The sequence below is a fragment of the Homo sapiens genome, chromosome 11 (assembly GCF_000001405.40).
Source record: "Homo sapiens chromosome 11, GRCh38.p14 Primary Assembly".
In the NCBI taxonomy this organism is placed as follows: domain Eukaryota; kingdom Metazoa; phylum Chordata; class Mammalia; order Primates; family Hominidae; genus Homo; species Homo sapiens.
In genome coordinates, this window is record NC_000011.10 from 89,441,798 (window position 1) to 89,462,364 (window position 20,567).

The 20,567-nt window shown below is 36.6% G+C and overlaps 1 protein-coding gene across 8 annotated transcripts in view, besides 2 other annotated features; it reads right to left on the reverse strand.

The window, feature by feature from the left end:
- Nucleotides 1-20,567, reverse strand: part of NOX4 (NADPH oxidase 4) — a 265,205-nt gene that overhangs the window by 117,445 nt on the left and 127,193 nt on the right. For 7 of the 8 annotated variants that reach the window (NM_001143837.2, NM_001300995.1, NM_001143836.3 and 4 more), the window contains 3 exon segments: nt 9,988-10,098; nt 7,643-7,727; nt 2,338-2,435 (listed from right to left, as the gene is read on the reverse strand). In NM_001143837.2, the coding sequence (NP_001137309.2) occupies nt 2,338-2,435; nt 7,643-7,727; nt 9,988-10,098 (294 nt within the window). 8 annotated transcript variants of the gene reach the window in all.
- Nucleotides 1,064-1,358: a silencer, noted in NCBI's record as "tiled region #6977; HepG2 Repressive non-DNase unmatched - State 24:Quies". NCBI's record gives its function as "represses a minimal TATA promoter and a strong SV40 promoter by Sharpr-MPRA in HepG2 cells {active_cell/tissue: HepG2}" and the evidence as "EXISTENCE:reporter gene assay evidence [ECO:0000049][PMID:27701403]".
- Nucleotides 14,956-15,456: an enhancer, noted in NCBI's record as "H3K27ac hESC enhancer chr11:89189921-89190421 (GRCh37/hg19 assembly coordinates)". NCBI's record gives its function as "activates a minimal SCP1, AML or CMV promoter by ChIP-STARR-seq in naive H9 embryonic stem cells {active_cell/tissue: H9 hESC(naive)}" and the evidence as "EXISTENCE:reporter gene assay evidence [ECO:0000049][PMID:30033119]".

Consider the following 20,567-nt stretch of genomic DNA (forward strand, 5'->3'; position numbering starts at 1 on the left):
TTTAGCCGGGCTATCAAGGAAGTGCAGCAGTCACAAGGTGGAGGGTGAGTCCTTGCATGCAGAGTAAAAGCATAAAAGAAGAACAATAGGGTATATTGGCACAAAACCATCTTTTTCAAAAGTGCTTCACAAAATAACATATGTGTTGACTATATATATATATATATATATATAATCAATATATAAATATATCAATATATAAAATATAATCTATATATAATAGATATGCCATATATTTATTTACATAATATTTAAATACATAAGTATATATACACTTATTTTCATCTACATCTAATGCATGGCCTTGTACCTATTAGATGCTAAATACATATTTATTAAAAAGAGAGAAAAAAGCATAAAGAGAGACATGAAAGAAGGAATACAAGAAGAAATAAAGGCAGGGGAAATACTAACTTAAAACGTTGAGTTGCCATTTTCATCCCTTAGATTGGGAAAAAAAAACAGAGATGAGTTGTAGAAATAGGCATTCTAATATTAGTTAGAAGTGTGAAAACAGGAGAAGACTTTTTAAAAAGGAATTTGGCACTGTCCATCAAAACTAAAAATGTACAACCTTTTAAACCAAAATTCTACAACTACAGATCTGTGTAGAAGAGGACAAAGAAATACATTCACTGGAGTGTGGTTCAGAACAAAACCCTAGAATCAATCTAAATGTCTGAATAAGAAAAAGACTAAAAATAAATTATGGCATAGTCATATGGAGAGAATGAGATAGATTAAGATATGTTGATACAATAAGCTATAAAAGTATATTTATGCAAACAAGTAAATCGCCAAGGAATATATACCATAAAATGCGACTCAAAATATCAGAAAAAAACATAATAAACTGTGGCTTGTTTTGGAGGAGAAGCTTTCACTTTTAACTTCATTTACTTGAGAGTTTTAAAATATTTTATATTGAGCATGTATAACTTTTCAAAGAAAATAAATTTAATAACTGAAAATTTTGAAATCACTAAAAATATTGGAACTTAAGCAAAAGTTTATTCCATTAAAATGAGAAAACCATTAAAGTTATTAAAGACATGAATTCTGAAAAGAGAAGAAAAGAAGGAAAAGAGAAACAAAGGAAATGTTGGAACAGGGGCAGGAAACAAGTAGCTAGTGATTTGAGCAGAGGGCAGCAGGAGAAAGGGAAGCAGGTGGAAGTGAGATGGGCAGAAGTGGAGGCTGGGTCTGAAATTACATGTGAAGCGCTGTCACTGGCCTGCTAAGGAGCGGGAATTTTTCAGTGGTTCTCAGTGCTGGATGCACTCTACAAGCCTGGTAAATTTTTACAAATTATCAATGCCTGCCTCCCATCCAAGACTAATTAGATCATGTTGGTATTTTTTAAAATACCAATAGAGACAAGGGCTATATCAAAAGTTGCTGGCTATTTTGGTTTTGTGATTTGTTTCTGAATTTGTTGTTACTTTTTCCTCTGTTTTGTTTTGAGATGGAGGTCAAACACATGAACACAACAGTATTAAACCTAGAAAACTCTGGTGATATGTGGAGGGGAAAAAGGAGTGGGGAAGGTGGGGAAAAAAGTTAATAAGTCACTACCAAACTTAGTCTGCAGAACAGGAAAATAAGGGGGGGGGATGCTGATTTAAATGGGACAGAACAGTTTGTTTTTGATGTAGTCTTGGCATTGTGAAGCAAAGGCAGCCTGAGGACTGTATGAAAGCATCAACCAACAGAGACCTAACTGGCTGAGCATGTGCTGTTCATCAGGCTCTGGGCTGCACCTTGCAAATATAATTTCATTTCATGGATGGCTTCACATGGAGAAAAGCACTCTACGTCAGATATTGCCTGCTACAGAATTGAATTCAACATCACTTAATTCGAGGAATGTTTTTAAATGAATGAATCATGAAAACTCACTAACATTTTTTAAGTCAAATAAATTGATTTGTCCAGGATTCACAAAAAATCAACCTACTTTTCTTCCCTTTTCCCCAAAACCCAGTATGTGAATTATAAAGTATTTTTACCCTGTAACGGCACTGTCAACACTCTCAGCTGAATGATAGGAATTAGACAAAAGCTGCTGGGAGTCAGAGGCAGACCTGAGTGGCAACCATCTGAACATTGCAATATAAAAAGTAGACATTCTACCAACTCTCACTTTCAGCAGGAGACACTATGAAATAGTAATTACTTATATTTTCTACTGAAAAGGAATAAAGCTCAACTTGACAACTGCATTTTAAAAGCACTCAAAAGGAGCAGTAAGGTACAAATTTTCAGGGAAAAATCACAGACCCTCATTAGTCATCTCATGACAAGTGAAAGAAAAATGGGAAGACAGAGACCACCCACCTCATCTCGGTATCTTGCTGCATTCAGTTCAACAAAGTCTTCACTGTAATTCACTGAGAAGTTGAGGGCATTCACCAGATGGGCAGCCACATGCACGCCTACAGAATTACACCAGGGGTAAGTTAGTGGGATTTGCATATATGCTCTATGTCAAGGACTCAGTTCTTCCTCTCCCTAAGTAAATACAGGGCCAAACTTTGACAGCTATGTGGACAATGAAATATTACATTGAAAGGTGAAGTTTTAAAGACACAAAAAACTGAACTATAGACAGTTTACCAAATTTTCAAAGGCTGTAATGAAACAACCCTAGTAAGTCAGGGATAAGAGAAACACACACACACACACACACACACACATACACACACACATCCTCCCCCTAACACACATACACACACACACACACACACACACACATAAATATGCATCTAATGATATGAGTATTTATTTACTTGAGCACCTCCCTGATATTTTAGGTATTCCACATCTTTCACCTCTTCCATAGTTCCAAATCTGCTATTAATACATATCTTGCATACTTCCCTACCCCATAAGGTAAATTATAGGCCACTGAAAGACTTTCAACTAGTAGAAATTTTTCACAATCCACAGATTTAAATCATAATATTCTTAACCCAACAGAAAAAGTGTTGGGAATCACTTCATGGGACAAAATTCAGGAAAACAATAATCACAATAAACAAAGGGCTCGACTGACTTAGAGCTCACATAAATAATAGCAGTGTTAGGAAATTACTAGAGATGTGAAGATGAACTCATTTTGGCAAAGCTAGGGTAATAAAAATTATTTTGAGGAGGTTGGGTAAGGAAGGAGAAATTGAGATGTGCACGGGCCCATCACACCTTCCCCCTTGCTCAAGCTTTGCTTGTAGGCAAAATAAGGTGTGAATTAACACCACATTTTAATGTATTGAAAATACAACAGGTAACTCGCTGGAAAATTTGTGATCTTGGCCATATTATTTGCCTTTCAGGGGCCTTAATTTACTTCTCTGTAAAATGATGGTGACAGAAACAAAAGGCTTAATGAGATAAGTGATCTGAAATTGCTTAGTAAACCATTATAGTTCACAATATGTGTAGTGCAATGGTTCAAAAGAAGACATAGCCTGGAATCTAGAAAACTCTATAATTTCCCACAACCCATAATGTAAAATGTAGAGGGCTTAGAGTTCTAAGGTACTCACACACACACACACACAAAAATAATGAAAGTGAGAGAGGATTAGAATGCTAAAATGCCTGAAAGTTATTTAAAAGATTTATAAGGTCCTTCAAGTAATCAAATTAGAAGTAGGGGAAGAGTCAGGACTTACTATGAAGTTACAGTAATCAAGAATGTATGGTATTAGCAAAAGAAAAGACAAATAGATTAATGGAACAGAATAGAGAGCCCAGAAATACGCCCACATTAATACAGTCAATTGATCTTTGGCAAAAGAGCAAAAGCAATACAAAGAAGAAAATGCGTTTGTCACAAATGGACCTGAAACAAGGAAGCATTCACATTTAAATAAATAAATCTAGTCATAGACTTTACACCCTTCACAAAAATTAACTGAAAATGAATCAGAGACCCAAATGTAAAATGCAAAACCATAAAACTCCTCAAAGGATACACGGGAAAAAGTCTATATGAGCTTGGGTTTGGTGTTGGCTTTTTAGATACAATGTCAGAGACATGATCCATGAAAGAAAGAATTAATAAGCTGGCCTTCATTAAAATTAAAATTTCAGCTCTGCAAAAGACGTTTTGAACACCATGAGAAGATAAGCCACAGACTGGGAAAAAGCATTTGCAAAAGACATATCGATAAAGGATTATTATCAAAATATACAAAGAACACTTAAAATTCAATAACAAGAAAACAAACAACCCAATTAAAAAAATGTGCCAAACATCTCAATAGATACCTCACCAAAGAAGATATACAGATGGCAAACAAGCACGAAAAGATGATCCACATTATATAACATCAGAGAAATGCAAATTAAAATGACAAGTTACCACTACGTACCTATTAGAATGACCAAAATCCAGAATACTGACAACACCAAATATTGGTGAGATTGCACAGCAACAGAAACTGTCATTCATTGCAGGTGGGGGATGCAAAAAATGGTACAGCCATATTGGAAGTGAGTTTGGTGGTTTCTTAAAAACTACACATACTCTTACCACATGATCTCGCACTCATACTCTTGGATATTTACCCAAAGGAACTAAAAATGTATGCCCACACAAAAACAGGCACATTAATGTTTACAGCAGCTTTATTCATTATTGTCGAAATCTGGAAGCAACCAACATGTCTTTCAATAGGTGAATAGATAAAAAAAAAACTGTGGTACATCCAGATAAGGGAATATTATTTACCACTATAAAAAGATGAACTCTCAAGCCATGAAAAGACACAAAGGAAACTTAAATTCATATTACTAAGTGAAAGAAGCCAATCTGAAAAGACTACATATAGCATGATTCCAACTATATTGCATTCTAGAAAAGGCAGAATTATGGAGACTGTAAACACTAACCAGTGGTGGTCTGGCGTTAGTGGGAAAGGAAAGATAAATAGGCAGAGCACAGAGGATTTTTAGGGCAATGAACTATTCTGCATGGTACAGTAATGGTGGGTACAGGTCATTACACATTTGTGCAAACCCATAGAATGTATAGCATCAAGTGTGAACCCTGATGTAAAGCATGGACTTTAGGTTATAATGATATGTCAATTAATGTAAATTTATCAATTGTAAAAAATTGTACCACTCTGGCAGGGGATGTTGATAATGGGGGAGGCTATACATGCATGAGGACAAATGATATACAAAAACTCTCTATATCTTCCTCTCAATTTTGCTGTGAACATAAATCTGCCCTACAGAAAAATAGTCTTTAAAAATTTTTAAGAGGAAAAAAAATGGACAGGAAGCTAACATGAGTTAAATAACAAGCAAGGACAAGTTTCCAAAGTAGTAAAACAAAGGGGGTCTAAGTGTGACACAACTATGGCACAGGTATAAAATACTATTTACACAAAACTCTCTGTGTCATATAGCTTCATCAATACCCAAATGTATAGTAAAATAATCCTTTCATATTAAATTAAAAGCTTATATATTAACTACATACTCTATGGCTAAAAAATGCAAAGTCATCTATAGAAGAATTACTATTCTTTCTGAATTTCTCTGAAAAAAAATTTGTAGGTAACAGCTATAGAAAATACATAATTAAGGGATATATTCACCTTTTTAAAGGACCTCTTAGGTCAAAAGAATTCAGGGCTTCTAATTTTAGGCAGCAAGGAAGCAGCTCAACCAAGCACTTTACATAGATTTTCTCATTTGATTCTCAAAACAAAGCAATGTGGTAGATAGAGTCATCCCTATTTTACAGACAAGAAAACTGAAGTTAAAGAAGGGTAATGTAGCCAAAGTCAGACGACTAGTGACTGGCAGAATGCAAACCCTCTGGAACACAAGCTCATGCTAGCTCAGTTGCTTGGTTGCTCTCCAGTTGAACCAGAATACTTGGACATGATTATAGTTTAGAACAAATTGAGTCACGAATATGCTGGTTTCCTGATCCTCCTCCATTTCTGACCTTTCACTCTCCCTCTCCCTAATCTATCTCTAACCCTTACTACACCCTTGGTCCTTATCTCATCCTCACTGAACTGCTAATCCTATCCCTGAGCCTCTCCCCATCTAACACCTGCAGAGGTGGGACTACCAATTGGAAGACATTCAGAGATAAAACAATGAAGTTACCCATTTCAACAATGCTTGGCAATTTTTTACCAAGTTAAAAGTAAAATAATTTCTTGGCAATAGCTGTATCAAAACATTCATTAGTCAAAATGGCCCTGCTATCAAAACAGCTATGTCATCAAATAATGGCCAGGTGAAAATACCAGGTGCTATGCCACTGGAATAATTAACCCTTGCAACTGTAAATTACAATTACTAATTCTATCCTAAAAATTTCTATTCATTTTCTCATTTTAGTCTTAAATCTATGAGGTAAGTCCTGCTGTCAATCCATTTTACAGTTAAAAACAACAACAACAACAACAGCAAATTGAGGATCAGAGAGGTAACATCACACATTAAAACAGAAGGGCAACTGAGGATAGAACCTACGCATGGACTCCTCGGAATCCATGTCCTTCATCACTATGTTTCTTACTTTCTGTTCCAAAAATTTGAAAAGTATCATCTAAAAGCTCAGGATCAAAATGTATTTTAAAAAGGCTTATAATAGCACAAAGATCATTGCTTTATTTCTTAATTTGGAAAAGAGCAAGATAAAGCTTCAGAAATTTTGACATTGGTTTTTCTACCAAATATTAATATCAAAGAAATATTGATCACATATAATTCGGGATGGAATCCTAATCTACTAATGAGTATTTCACATTGTAATTTTCATTCATTTGGCCAGGTACAGTGGCACCCGCCTATAATCACAGAGCTTTGGGAGGCTGAGGCAAGCAAATTGCTTGAGCTCAGAAGTTCGAGATCAGCCTGGGCAACATGGTGAAAGCCCGTCTCTACAAAAAAATACAAAAACTAGCCAGGCATGGTGGCACATGCCTGTAGTCCCAGCTACTTGGGAGGCTGAGGTGGGAGGATGGCTTAAGCCTGGGAAGTAGAGGTTGCAGTTAGCCAAGATTGTACCGCTGTACTCCAGCCTGGGCAACAGTGCCAGGCCCTGTTTCAAAAAAATAAAAAATAAAATGTTCATGCATTTAAACTCATATCACATCATCACTTTCAGAGCTTGAAAACTTTTAGTCTGTTTCTTCCAGTATTTCTTACTGGAATGAAATTACTTACTTTCAGGAAATAGTCATTATCAGCTTGGGGGCCAACTTTTGGATATCATAATGTAAAAATCACAAGACACATCCATTTTCTGTAATTCCCTGTAGACAACCCTTTTCAAAAACATGGAAAAGAACTACTAAGCTATTTAATAAGAAAATCCTAAGTTGCTGACAGCAGATAATGTACAGAACAATAAAATCACACATTTTCCATGTGTAATTTTACGTGTGGTTTAAAACACAAACCACACGACAATCTTACATTGTTCACCATTAATGACATTATATGTTAATATATCTGCAGGCAATTACCCCAAATTGTCATCAGTGGTTGTTCTGGAAGAATAAGATTAGGGAAAACTTTCTCTGATCATTCTGTGTATGTCTGGAATGTTTACATTTAAATGTGTAATTCTAACAAATTATTTAATATCTTGTGGCTTTCTCACCTGAGAAAATACAGATAGTAACACCACAGGTAATATGGAATGTTCTGCTTTTATCCAACAATCTCCTGGTTCTCCTGCTTGGAACCTAAACAAAAATCATTTAATATGGTAAAAATAATGCAACAAATGTGATAAAAGTTTTTCAGTATAGCATTGTTCATTATGTCAAAATTTTTAAAATATGGCGGAAGCCTATTAATCAAAAATTGGTGAGATGAATTATGATCTATCTAGTTAATGGGACACCTAAACCATTAAAAAATATATGTGAGAAGTCCATATTATTGATATAGAAAGATGTTCAAGACACATTGTTAGGTTAAAAAAAAAGTTACAAAAAAACTGCACTGTGATCTTATATTGATCAACACTAATGGCATTAGATGTTAACGTATCTGCAGGCACTTACCACAAATTGTCATCAGTGGTTGTTCTGGCAGAATAAGATTAGGGTAAACTTTCTCTGATCATTTTGCATATTTCTGGAATGTTTAAGTTTTAAAATATATATGATTTCCTTTTACAGTCAAAAAATAAGATTATTTTAAAATGAAGCAATCTCATCTATAGTTTGAAATGCCTGTTTGATCTTATAACAAAATAAAATGTCAAGCACCTCTGAATCACTGTTTCACACTCGGGGCAAATCTTTAAGAATGATTAAATACTGAGAGACTTAGGTGGGAACTTTTTATTCCCTGCCACTTATCTTCTCTTTCTCCAAGCCAAACCAATAGCCAACCACAGGGATCAAAACCTAGCAGTTTAAATGGTAGGCAACCTAGAGAGAGTTATTTTCACAGATTACTGCATTAAAAGGAAAGAGTTTCTAAATATAATTATGTAGAAAGGGTTGAGAAGTTTTCCTAGAGTAAATCTGCACACATTAAATTCATAGAACATCAAAGTGATCTCAAGTTAACAACTCCTTTTAAAATATCAATATCTATCCAGCGGTGCTTTGCTTAGTGAATCTTAGGGAAGAAGAATCAACACGCACACACACAGTCACACATATACACAAAATTAGTCAAAGACAAAAAAGAATTTTTGTTGATTAGCAGAATGACTGTTTTTGTTTTCTTACATACTTCATTTTACAACACTGCATATAATACATGACATCACTATTTATTATTATTATTATTATACTTTAAGTTTTAGGGTACATGTGCACAATGTGCAGGTTAGTTACATATGTATACATGTGCCATGCTGGTGTGCTGCACCCGTTAACTCGTCATTTAGCATTAGGTATATCTCCTAATGCCATCCCTCCCCCCTCCCCCTGACATCACTATTTAATCAAGACATATTTCTCTGCACACGTATGTTTATTGTGGCACTATTCACAATAGTAAAGACTTGGAACCAACCCAAATGTCCAACAATGATAGACTGGATTAAGAAAATGTGGCACATATATGTGGAATACTATGCAGCCATAAAAAGGATGAGTTCATGTCCTTTGTAGGGACATGGATGAAGCTGGAAACCATCATTCTTAGCAAACTATCACAAGGACAGAAAACCAAACACCACATGTCCTCACTCATAGGTGGGAAATGAACAATGAGAACACTTGGACACAGGATGGGGAACATCACACACCAGGGCCTGTTGTGGGGTGGGGGGAGGGGGGAGGGATAGCATTAGGAGATATACCTAATGTTAAATGACGAGTTAATGGGTACAGCACACCAACATGGCACATGTATACATATGTAACAAGCCTGCATGTTGTGCACATGTACCCTAGAACTTAAAGTATAATAAAAAAAGACATGTTTCTCAAGCCTATTACACACTTCAAAATGAGTATATGTGTTAAGCAGAGATAAGTTGTTGCCAACACCAGCAATCATTTCATGTATTGCTCAGAATCTAAAGGACTCTAGTTTGCTCACCTGGATTTAGCTAAGTGAAAATACAGAATCTCAATGAGACAAGACATAATGGAAAGAACTCAAATTAGGATTGACCTTAGCTCTGTCATTCCCTAGTCTCGAAGTTACTCAAAGCCTCTATGCCTGAGGTTTCTTGTGTGTGAAATGAAACTAACAATACCTGATTGTAGAATCCCTGTAAGAATTGTCCAGCATGTATGTGAAACACTAAGCATAGTGCTGGAAATCCCTGTTAATAATATTACTATTATCCTCTGCCCTTATCTGGTATTGCAGAATAACTCACAGATCATCTTGGCAGGTGACATGTCTTTTACCATCATCTTACAAGAAATCACTCCAGTCAAAAGTCAGACTATGAAAAGTAAACAAACTAACATGCGACTGTTACACTTGATTTTTATGCTGGAATTTGAAAGTAGGACTGTTTTTTCTTACCTTCTGTGATCCTCGGAGGTAAGCCAAGAGTGTTCGGCACATGGGTAAAAGGATAAGGCTGCAGTTGAGGTTAAGAACAGATGCTGAGGCTCTGCTTAGACACAATCCTAGCTGAACAAATAAGGCAAGGTCAGCACACAGTTAAGGACAGTAGTAAAGCCCTGTCCTGGCTCTAGAAGCTAGAGGTCTCACCCTATTGCTCTTTTAAGAATCATGCCAAATACCAGCTCCTTCAAAAGCCTTGAATAGTCTTCCCTTTTCCTCTCACTAAAACCCCCTTTGAACGACTTCTTTCTGTTCTGCACTGCCACAAAACTTAGTACTCCTCTCATTAATGCTAATGTTACAATCACCTGAAAACACTGTTTCCAAAGAAACTCCATTTCTTGTTCTGCCCCTACCCCATTGTTCTGGCTGTTAAGAGCCTTAAGAGTTTCTGTATATACTGCACCTCCACATTTATGTGGTGTTGGACCCTTTATTCACTGATAAGGTCACAGTTTTAAATGACATTTTTCTCATGTGTTCTCTCTCTCTGGAACACTCTCAGTCTCCACACAACCCACCCATTTACACACCACAGCTTTTCTGCAAGCTCTGCTTATCACTAACTCTACTCATCTTTCTGGTCACATAGTAAGCACGACTCTTCTAGACTTCTTCCCTGATCGGAAACTAGGAGAGAACCCACTGGTATACAAGCATTCATTGCTTTCTGTACTTCCCTGATTATGTCTCTAACCTCCTTTCTAATGTTTTTTTAAAATTTTTATTTTATTTTTAATTGACAAATAATAATTGTATATATGTATGGGTACAATATGATGTTTTAATACATGTATGCATCATGAAATGACCAAATCAAGCTATTTTACATATCCATCCCCCAAAACACTTATCATTTCTTTGTGGTAAATATATTTATTTATATTTATTTTTTAATTTTTTTGAGGCAGGGTCTCACTTTTTCTCCCAGGCTGAGTGCAGTGGTACCATCAGGGCTCACTGCAGCCCCTTCCTCCTAGGTTCAAGCTATCCTCCTGCCTCAGCCTTCTGAGTAGCTAGGACTACAGATGCATGCCATGTGGTGAGAATATTTAAAATCCACGTTTAGTCAGGCATGGTGTAATGCACCCGCAGTTCCAGTTACTCTGAAGACTGGCACAGGAGAATTGCTTGAACCCAGGAGCTTGAGGCTGCAGTGAGTCATGTTCATGCCACTGGAGTACAGCCTGGGTGAAAGGGCGAGACTCTGTCTCAAAAAATAAAAAATTAAAATTAAAATACACTCTTAGCTATTTTGAAAAATACAATACACACTATTATTAACTATAGTCACCCTGTTGTGCAAAAACAGGCCTATTTCCAGGCCTATTACTAGGCCTATTTCTTCTAACCGAAACTTTGTACACTCTGTCCACTCCCATCCCCATGCTCTGGTAACCAGCAGCATTCTACTCTCTACTTCTATGATTTCAACTCTTTTAGATTCAAAATGTAAGTGAGATCATACAGTATTTGTCTTTCTGTGCCTGGCTTATTTCACTTAGCATAACATCCTCTAGATAATCCATGTTGTTGAAAATGACCAATCTTAAATAAGATAGTGCCTTGAAAAACTGAGATTCATATATTTGACTCTGTCTTAGGAGGAGGATATATCCATTCTTTTGAGAACCATTTTCATTTGGTGATAGCTAACTTAAAGCATTATCTTCATATGTTCACACTGAAAACATTATGTTCATACTAAAACAAATGAAGAACATAACGGAATAAAAATGCAGAGATGTTAGCAAAAGCACACCTATCTCTTACTATTAGCCACACATAGTTTGGATCAATTTACACTTATTAATACATTAAACCTCTTTCTGCAACCCTAGGAAGTAATTAACGATATTGTCTTCCTTCTTAAAAAATAAAGAATATTGAGTCACAGTGAAGTTAAGAATTTACCCAACATAAGATAATCAGAAAGTTGTGGAGCCAGAATTCAAACCCAGATATTCTGGCTCCAGCATTTATACTATTAACCCCCACTTTATCATGCTGCTAAATTGCCTTTAAAAAGAAAATGTCCAGAAGGCACATATTAGGTAATAAACATTTTGTTGAATGACTTGATGAATGAACAAACATTTGAGGTAAGTGGTTTTAGACAACCACCCTAGATAAGACTTCCCTCCTAGTAACCCTCTCCAGCCCCAAAAAGGTTATTGTTCTTGTTCTTTTATCATTAAAGAAAGCCCAGGTATAAATATTTGAGAAGTACTAGACAAGGTCACAGCCTCATATACATTAAGGATTGCCTACACAGTGTGATTAGGATGGGATTCCTAGCATAATTATTCTGTTACTTCCATTTAGTGTGTGACATGTTACCTTGAATTTTTTATGTTTTAACCTTTTTCTCTAAGTAAATGTTAAACCCCTCAAGACCAGGGTAAATATTTCTAAAATGTTTTAATATTACCCTACATTTTTATTTTAATTATCTGTTTATCAATCACTTTTGAATATATTTTTAATGTAATCATCAGATCTACTCTGACAAGCTGAGTAGATGTTATTATTGCCATGTTGGAGATGAAGAGCTGTTACAAAATAATAATAATTAGGTCCACAAGAAATCCTGAATTCAATGACTTTGGGTAGTGTCTGAACATTGGCATTTTTGAAAGCTTTCCAGATGATTCTAATATGCCACCTGGGTTGAACACCACTACCTAAGACTATTTAGCCAACTGTACTGTTTACAAGTTATGAAACAATGACAACCATTAAATTATAATAAGAAAGTGTAATTGCATATTTCCAAACTTACTGGCCAAATGTAGCTTTAAAAATAGCATTTTTATATTAAAAATACAAAAGTAAATAGTCTGGGCATAAATAAAAAGCAAAGCAGGAACAACAAAGATCTCATCTACAGAAAGCTGACATAGTAAGGTACAACTAACAGGTTTACCATCTCTTTATCATCCAATACAGAACAGTCGCCAGGCTAAGCGTTTTTAATGAATCACTGAAAATATTTTCAAAAACCTTGTAAAGTAAGAACTATTATACTCAATTTACAGATGACTTGTATAAAGATCTTAGAAGCTGTTTACCTTGTCAAAAGTCAAACTAGTTGAAAAGGAATTCTGTACCCTGGAATCTATGACTCTTTTCATCTCAGGGTTAAAACTAAGGCAAAAAATGTACTGAAGGATACGGAAGGATAAATATTAAATTGAGAGACATGAGAAAAGCCTACTCCAATAGCTCCTATAGGCCATATACATTATGCTTAGTTGCCAGTAAAGTATGTTAGTTAAACACAGGTCTTGCGTTTCATCTTCCATCAAGCATGACTACTTTAGTTTATTACTTACTCATGAGTTACCCCTATAGTCCTAGCCAGCACCATTTCCTCTTTAGTTGGTATATGAATTAATGTGTTTGTGTCATAATACCTCAAACTTTTCTGACTTTCTATGCATTACCTTGATTCTTATATATTATCACAAGGACATTCCATGGAGAAGCAGAAGCCCCAAAGGTACCTCATTTCTCCTTATAACTTCCTCTCAACTCTAGGATCTGGCTTACTCCTCCTTTCTACTCTTTTCCTGCACCCAGGTAGTAAGTTTTTCAAAAGCAGGATCCATTTTTTACAGCTATGTATCCTCAGCCCTAACACAGTGGTAGTTTTCAGTAAATCTTTGTTGAATTGAGCTGAATTTTTAAACACAGGTACCATGCTCTGATAAGCATTTTATTTGGTTACAACTCTCAAGTTTGTTCAAATATTTACAATCTTTGTGGTTATTTTATTCACAAAGCTTGTATGTCCACCAATAACTTTAAATTGCACAGCTTGCAGTATCATGGAAAATATTATGAAGTGGTCACTGAAAACTCCCCACTGTTATCAAGAAGATGAAGTCATATATATATATATATATATATATATGAAACAAAAAGCAGGCACTTCAAGAAAATTCCTAGTTACATTATTCTTACTCCCACAATCTGTAGGCAACTCTATCCATCAAATTTGGTAATCAATAAATCTTGAGTGAATACACATATGGGAGCTAAAAAAAAGAAATTGAACTCATGGAGACAGAGAATAGGCTGAGAAGAGTAGTGGGAAGTGGGGAGATGAAGAGGCAATGGTTAACAGGTACATGAACACAGTACCCATTAAAAGGAATAATATCTATTGTTTGATAGCACAATAAGGCAACTATAGTTAACAATAATTTACTGTATATTCCAAAATAACTAAAAGAGTGGAATTACAATTTTTCCAACATAAAGAAATGATAAATGGTTGAGGTGATAGATATCCCAGCTACTCTTATGACATATTGCATGTTTGTATCAAAATATCATGTGTATTTTATACATATATACAATTACTATAATAATTAAAAATTAAAATTGTTTAAGAAGGTAAATCTAAGCAAGCTTCAAAAAGAAGTCTTGTGTGAATAAATGAATGGATGAATAGAAATAAATAATAAGTACATTTAGAATACATATATTTTGACAAATATAAATGCACAAATATTTCTATTAACAGATTTTGAAAAGACTAAAGATTTAGTCTGAAAAGAAAGTAGGACAAGACCCAAGATGGCCGACTAGATACAGCCAGGAGGAACATCTCACACTGAGAGACAGGGACATGGGGAAGACTAGCAAACTCTGAGCAGATCTTCAGCAGGAAAGCATTGAGAGTGGATGCAGTTAGGACACAGACAGTGGGCTGAACTTGAGGAGGAAGCTGGGAGCCCTGTAGGGGGCTGCTGAGCACTGGGGCTCGCTCCTGGACCCCAGCAACTCCTGCGGAATGAGCTAAACAGGTGAGGAGTGCTCTGTCCTCACCAGGAATCCCCAAAAATCCTGGCAACAAGACAGCCCATGACTCCCACGGACACTTGAGCTGGCAGAGAGTTGGCAGAGAGATGGAAGAAACAGGATTCCAGCCTGTGCAGAGCCCACAGGGTTTGGGACAGGAACAGCTGCAGTGGAGTATGGCTAGGGTGCCCATCCCCAAAGACTCTCCATGGCCTTCTAAGTGACGTCAGCCTTTGAGAGACTGTTGGACCTGGACAGAACATGGTGGTGTTGCAAATGGGATGGGACCAGTCCAAATTGCACATCCTCTGTCTGCTGGCCTCTCCTGGGTACAGCCTGGCTATATGTACCTGCTTGAAGCACAGCCTCTGATGGCCAACCAAGTTGCTTCCCAGGGGTTATCATCATAGCTCCTTCACTGGAAGACTGTGTCTGTTTGTTGAAGAGCTCCAGTAGACCAGCCCCTGACGATGCACACTAGCCAACCTGCAGCCTTGACCCACTACAGTCTCCCTCTCCCCATGTGGGCAGACCTCACCTCCCTTACCCAGCCAGTACGTGTGTGTGAATGCATCCCACTGTGTCACCACAGATGATGCAAACAGAGCTAACTGTCCAAACCCTTGCTGATGCAGGAGTGCCCTGTTACCCTTCCACCAACAGCACAAATGTGTACATGGACGCTGGCAACTCTGCCTCTGCCACCGCCCTGCACCAGCCACACTGCCACTGCCATAGGCATGAGCATACACAGGACCACTTCAGGCTCACTCCCACCAGTGTGCCACCCAAGCCAACAGGAGTAAACCCTGCCAGCACCAGCTTTGTAGAGTTGTGGCCAGTAGACTGGGACACCTCAGCCCCCCGAGTGAATCAGATTCCTAACCTCAAAGGGCCAGAGACTGCAGCTGAGGGCCTAGTACAGCCATCCAGAGTTAACAGGCAGTCCAGGAGTGCTAAGCTGATCCTTGGCCCCCTAAAACCTTCCAGAAATAAAGTCAGTCTACTGAACCTACCTCAAACCACAACCAAACTTCCAAAGGCATCAAAGAAAATAAAATTGTAAAAAACTCCATCCAAAGAACAGTAACTTCAAAGACTAAAGGAACATCAGCCCACCAACAGTGTTCAAGCTGAGAGCCAAATCCAGATCATAATCCCATTCACAATATCCACAACAATAATAAAATACCTAGAAATACAAATAACCAGGTAAATAAAACACCTCTGTAAGAGAATTACAAAACACTGCTGAAAGAAATCAGAAATAACACAAACAAATGAAAAAAAAATTCCATGTTCATAAATGGGAAGAATCATTATAGTTAAAATGGCCATACTGGCCAAAGCAATTTACAGATTCAATACCATTCCTATCAAACTACCAATGCCAGTCATCACAGAATTAGAAAAAAAACTATTTTAAATTCATATGGAACCAAAAAAGAACCCAAATAGCCAAAGCTATACCAAGCAAAAAGAACAAAGCTGGAGGCCTCACATTACCTGACTTCGAATTATACTACAAGACTACAATAACAATATAAATGGTGCTAGGAAAACTGGCTAGCCATTTGCAAAAGATTTAATCTGGACCCCTTCCTTAAAGCAATATAAAAATCAACTCAAGATGAATGAAAGACTTAAATATAAAGCAATATAAAAATTAATTCAAGATGAATGAAAGACTTAATGTAAAACCTAAAACTACAAAAAGCCTGGAAGATAACCTGGTAAAAATACCATTCAGGACATAGACCTTGGCAAAGATTTCATGATGAAGACAACAAAAGCAATTAAAACAAAACCAAAAATGGACAAATAAGATCTAATTAAACTAAGTAGCTTCTGTACAACAAAAGAAACTACAACAGACAACCTACAGAATGGATGAAAATATTTGAAAACCATGCATATGACAAAGACCTAGTACACAGATTCTGTGAGAAACTTAAACAAATTAACAAGCAAAAAACAAACAATCTCATTAAAAAGTGGGGTAAGAACATCAAAAGACACTTTTCCAAAGAAGACATACAGCTGGCCAACAAGCATATGAAAACAATATTCAACATCACTAATTATTAGAGAAATGCAAATCAAAACCACAATGAAATACCATCTCACACCAGTCAGAATGGCTATAATTAAAAAGTTAAAAAATAACAGATTCCGGGAAGGTTGCAGAGAAAAGGGAACACTTACATGCTGTTCATGGGAATGTGAATTAGATCAGCCCCTGTGGAAAATAGTTTTGCAATTTCTCAACGAAATTAAAACCAAACTTTCATTTGATCCAGCAATCCCATGATTGAATATATACCCAAAGGGATATAAATCATTCTACCATAAAGACACATGCACACATACATTCATCACAGCACTATTCACAAGAGCAAAGACATGGAATCAACCTAAATGCTCATTAATGACAGACTGGAAAAAGAAAATATGGTGTATACATATACCATGGAATACTGCACAGCCATAAAAAGAAACAAGATCATGTCCTTTGCAAGAAATATGAATGGCCTGGAGATGATTATCCTAAAACAGAAAACCAAATACCGAGAACATGTTCTCACTTAAAAATTGAGAGCTAAACACTGAGTAAACAGGAACGTAAAGAATGGAACAACAGACACAGGGGTCTACTTGAGGGTAGAGGGTGGGAGGAGCGTGACATTCAACAAACTATGTGGTACTATGCTTATTACTTGGGTGAAAAAAATAATCTGTACACTAAATCCCCATGAAACACAATTTATCCCTATAGTAAACCTGCACATGTACCACTGATCCTAAAATAAAACTTTAAAAAAAACTCAGGATACAAAATCAATGTGTAAAAATGACAAGCATTCTTATACACCAATAACGACAAACAGAGAGCCAAATCATGAGTGAACTCCCATTCACAATTGCTTCAAAGAGAATAAAATACCTAGGAATCCAACTTACAAGGGATGTGAAGGACCTCTTCAAGGAGAACTACAAACCACTGCTCAATGAAATAAAAGAGGATACAAACAAATGGAAGAACATTCCATGCTCATGGGTAGGAAGAATCAATATCGTGAAAATGGCCATACTGCCCAAGGTAATTTACAGATTCACTGCCATCCCCATCAAGTTACCAATGACTTTCTTCACAGAATTGGAAAAAAACTACTTTAAAGTTCATATGGAACCAAAAAAGAGCCCACAATTCCAAGTCAATCCTAAGCCAAAAGAACAAAGCTGGAGGCATCACACTACTTGACTTCAAACTATACTACAAGGCTACAGTAACCAAAACAGCACGGTACTGCTACCAAAACAGAGATATAGACCAATGGAACAGAACAGAGCCCTCAGAAATAATACCACACATCTACAACCATCTGATCTTTGACAAACCTGACAAAAACAAGAAATGGGGAAAGGATTGCCTATTTAATAAATGGTGTTGGGAAAACTAGCTAGCCATATGTAGAAAGCTGAAACTGGATCCCTTCCTTACACCTTATACAAAAATTAATTCAAGATGGATTAAAGACTTAAATGTCAGACCTAAAATCAAAAAAACCCTAGAAGAAAACCTAGGCAATACCATTCAGGACATACACATGAGCAAGGACTTCATGTCTAAAACACCAAAAGCAATGGCAACAAAAGCCACAATTGACAAATGGGATCTAATTAAACTAAAGAGCTTCTGCACAGCAAAAGAAACTACCATCAGAGTGAACAGGCAACCTACGGAATGGGAGAAAATTTTTGCATTCTACCTATCTGACAAAGGGCTAATATCCAGAATCTACGATGAACTCAAACAAATTTACAAGAAAAAAACAACCCCATCAAAAAGTGGGCGAAGGATATGAACAGACACTTCTCAAAAGAAGACATTTATGCAGCCAAAAGACACATGAAAAAATGTTCATCATCACTGGCCATCAGAGAAATGCAAATCAAAACCACAATGAGATACCATCTCACACCAGTTAGAATGGTGATCATTAAAAAGTCAGGAAACAACAGGTGCTGGAGAGGATGTGGAGAAACAGGAACACTTTTACACTGTTGGTGGGACTGTAAACTAGTTCAACCATTGTGGAAGTCAGTGTGGTGATTCCTCAGGGATCTAGAACTAGAAATACCATTTGACCCAGCAATCCCATTACTGGGTATATACCCAGAGGATTATGAATCATGCTGCTGTAAAGACACATGCACACGTATGTTTATTGTGCCACTATCCACAATAGCAAAGACTTGGAACCAACCCAAATGTCCAACAATGATAGACTGGATTAAGAAAATGTGGCACATATACACCACGGAATACTATGCAGCCATAAAAGATGATGAGTTCATGTCCTTTGTAGGGACATGGGTGAAATTGGAAATCATCATTCTCAGCAAACTGTTGCAAGGACAAAAAACCAAACACCGCATGTTCTCACTCATAGGTGGGAATTGAACAATGAGAACACATGGACACAGGAAGGGGAACATCACAATCCGGGGCCTGTTGTGGGGTGGGGGGAGCCGGGAGGGATAGCATTAGGAGATATACCTAATGTTAAATGACGAGTTAATGGGTGCAGCACACCAACATGGCACATGTACACATATGTAACAAACCTGCACGTTGTGTACATGTACCCTAAAACTTAAAGTATAATTAAAAAAAAGAATATGAAACAAAAAAATAAATTAATTAAAAAATAAATAAATAAGGCCAGGTGCGGTGGGTTACGCCTGTAATCCCAGCACTTTGGGAGGCTAAGGCTGGCGGATCATGAGGTCAGGAGATCGAGACCATCCTGGCTAAGACAGTGAAACTCCGTCTCTACTAAAAATACAAAAAAATTGACCGGGTGTGGTGATGGGCACACGTAGTCCCAGCTACTCGGGAGGCTGAGGCAAGACAATGGCATGAACCCGGAAGGCAGAGCTTGCAGTGAGCCGAGATCGCGCCACTGCACTCCGACCTGGGCAAAAGAGCAAGACTCCATCTCAAAAAATAAATAAATAAATAAATAAGAGAAGAAAATATTTAAATCCAATATTAACATTATGCAGCAGAAGAAAGTGGAATGAGGGGAACAAAATCTCATTACAGAACATCTTATAAGTCACAGGTCTTAAAGTAAAATTGACCAGTAAAATCCCACTATTACCTCTTTCAAGTTATGGAAAAATTATTTGAATTTTCTAATGTTTGCGTTACCCATCTGCCAAGAGAGAACATAATACCACTATGTGAGGAAATTCAGCCACAAGCTACTTGTAACAGGACTCTAAAATGTTTTCTATTCAATAAATGCAATCCTTAGTAAACTTTTGTTTTATTCTGCTACTTTTGGGAAGAAAGAAGAAAAAAAAAAGGAAGAAAGGAAGCAAGGGAGGGTAAGAAGCATGAAAGAAAGCTAGCTAACTGCATTACTATAAAATGGCGACAGATATTTTTAAAAACATATTTTAAAGATTTTATTTTATAAAAGTAATAAAAAATGTAAATTGTCTAGTAAAAAACTTAACAAAAAAACAAACCACAAGACACATGTAAAAACAAGGAACTAAAGGAACGTAAGAGAAGGGCTAAGTAGATAATTAATACACCATGTTTCATGTAGGGAGATTTAATATTGTAAAGATGTCAATCTCTCAAAATTGATTTACAAACTCGATGTAACTCCAGTCAAACTCCAATAGGTTTTCTTCATAAAACTTGACAA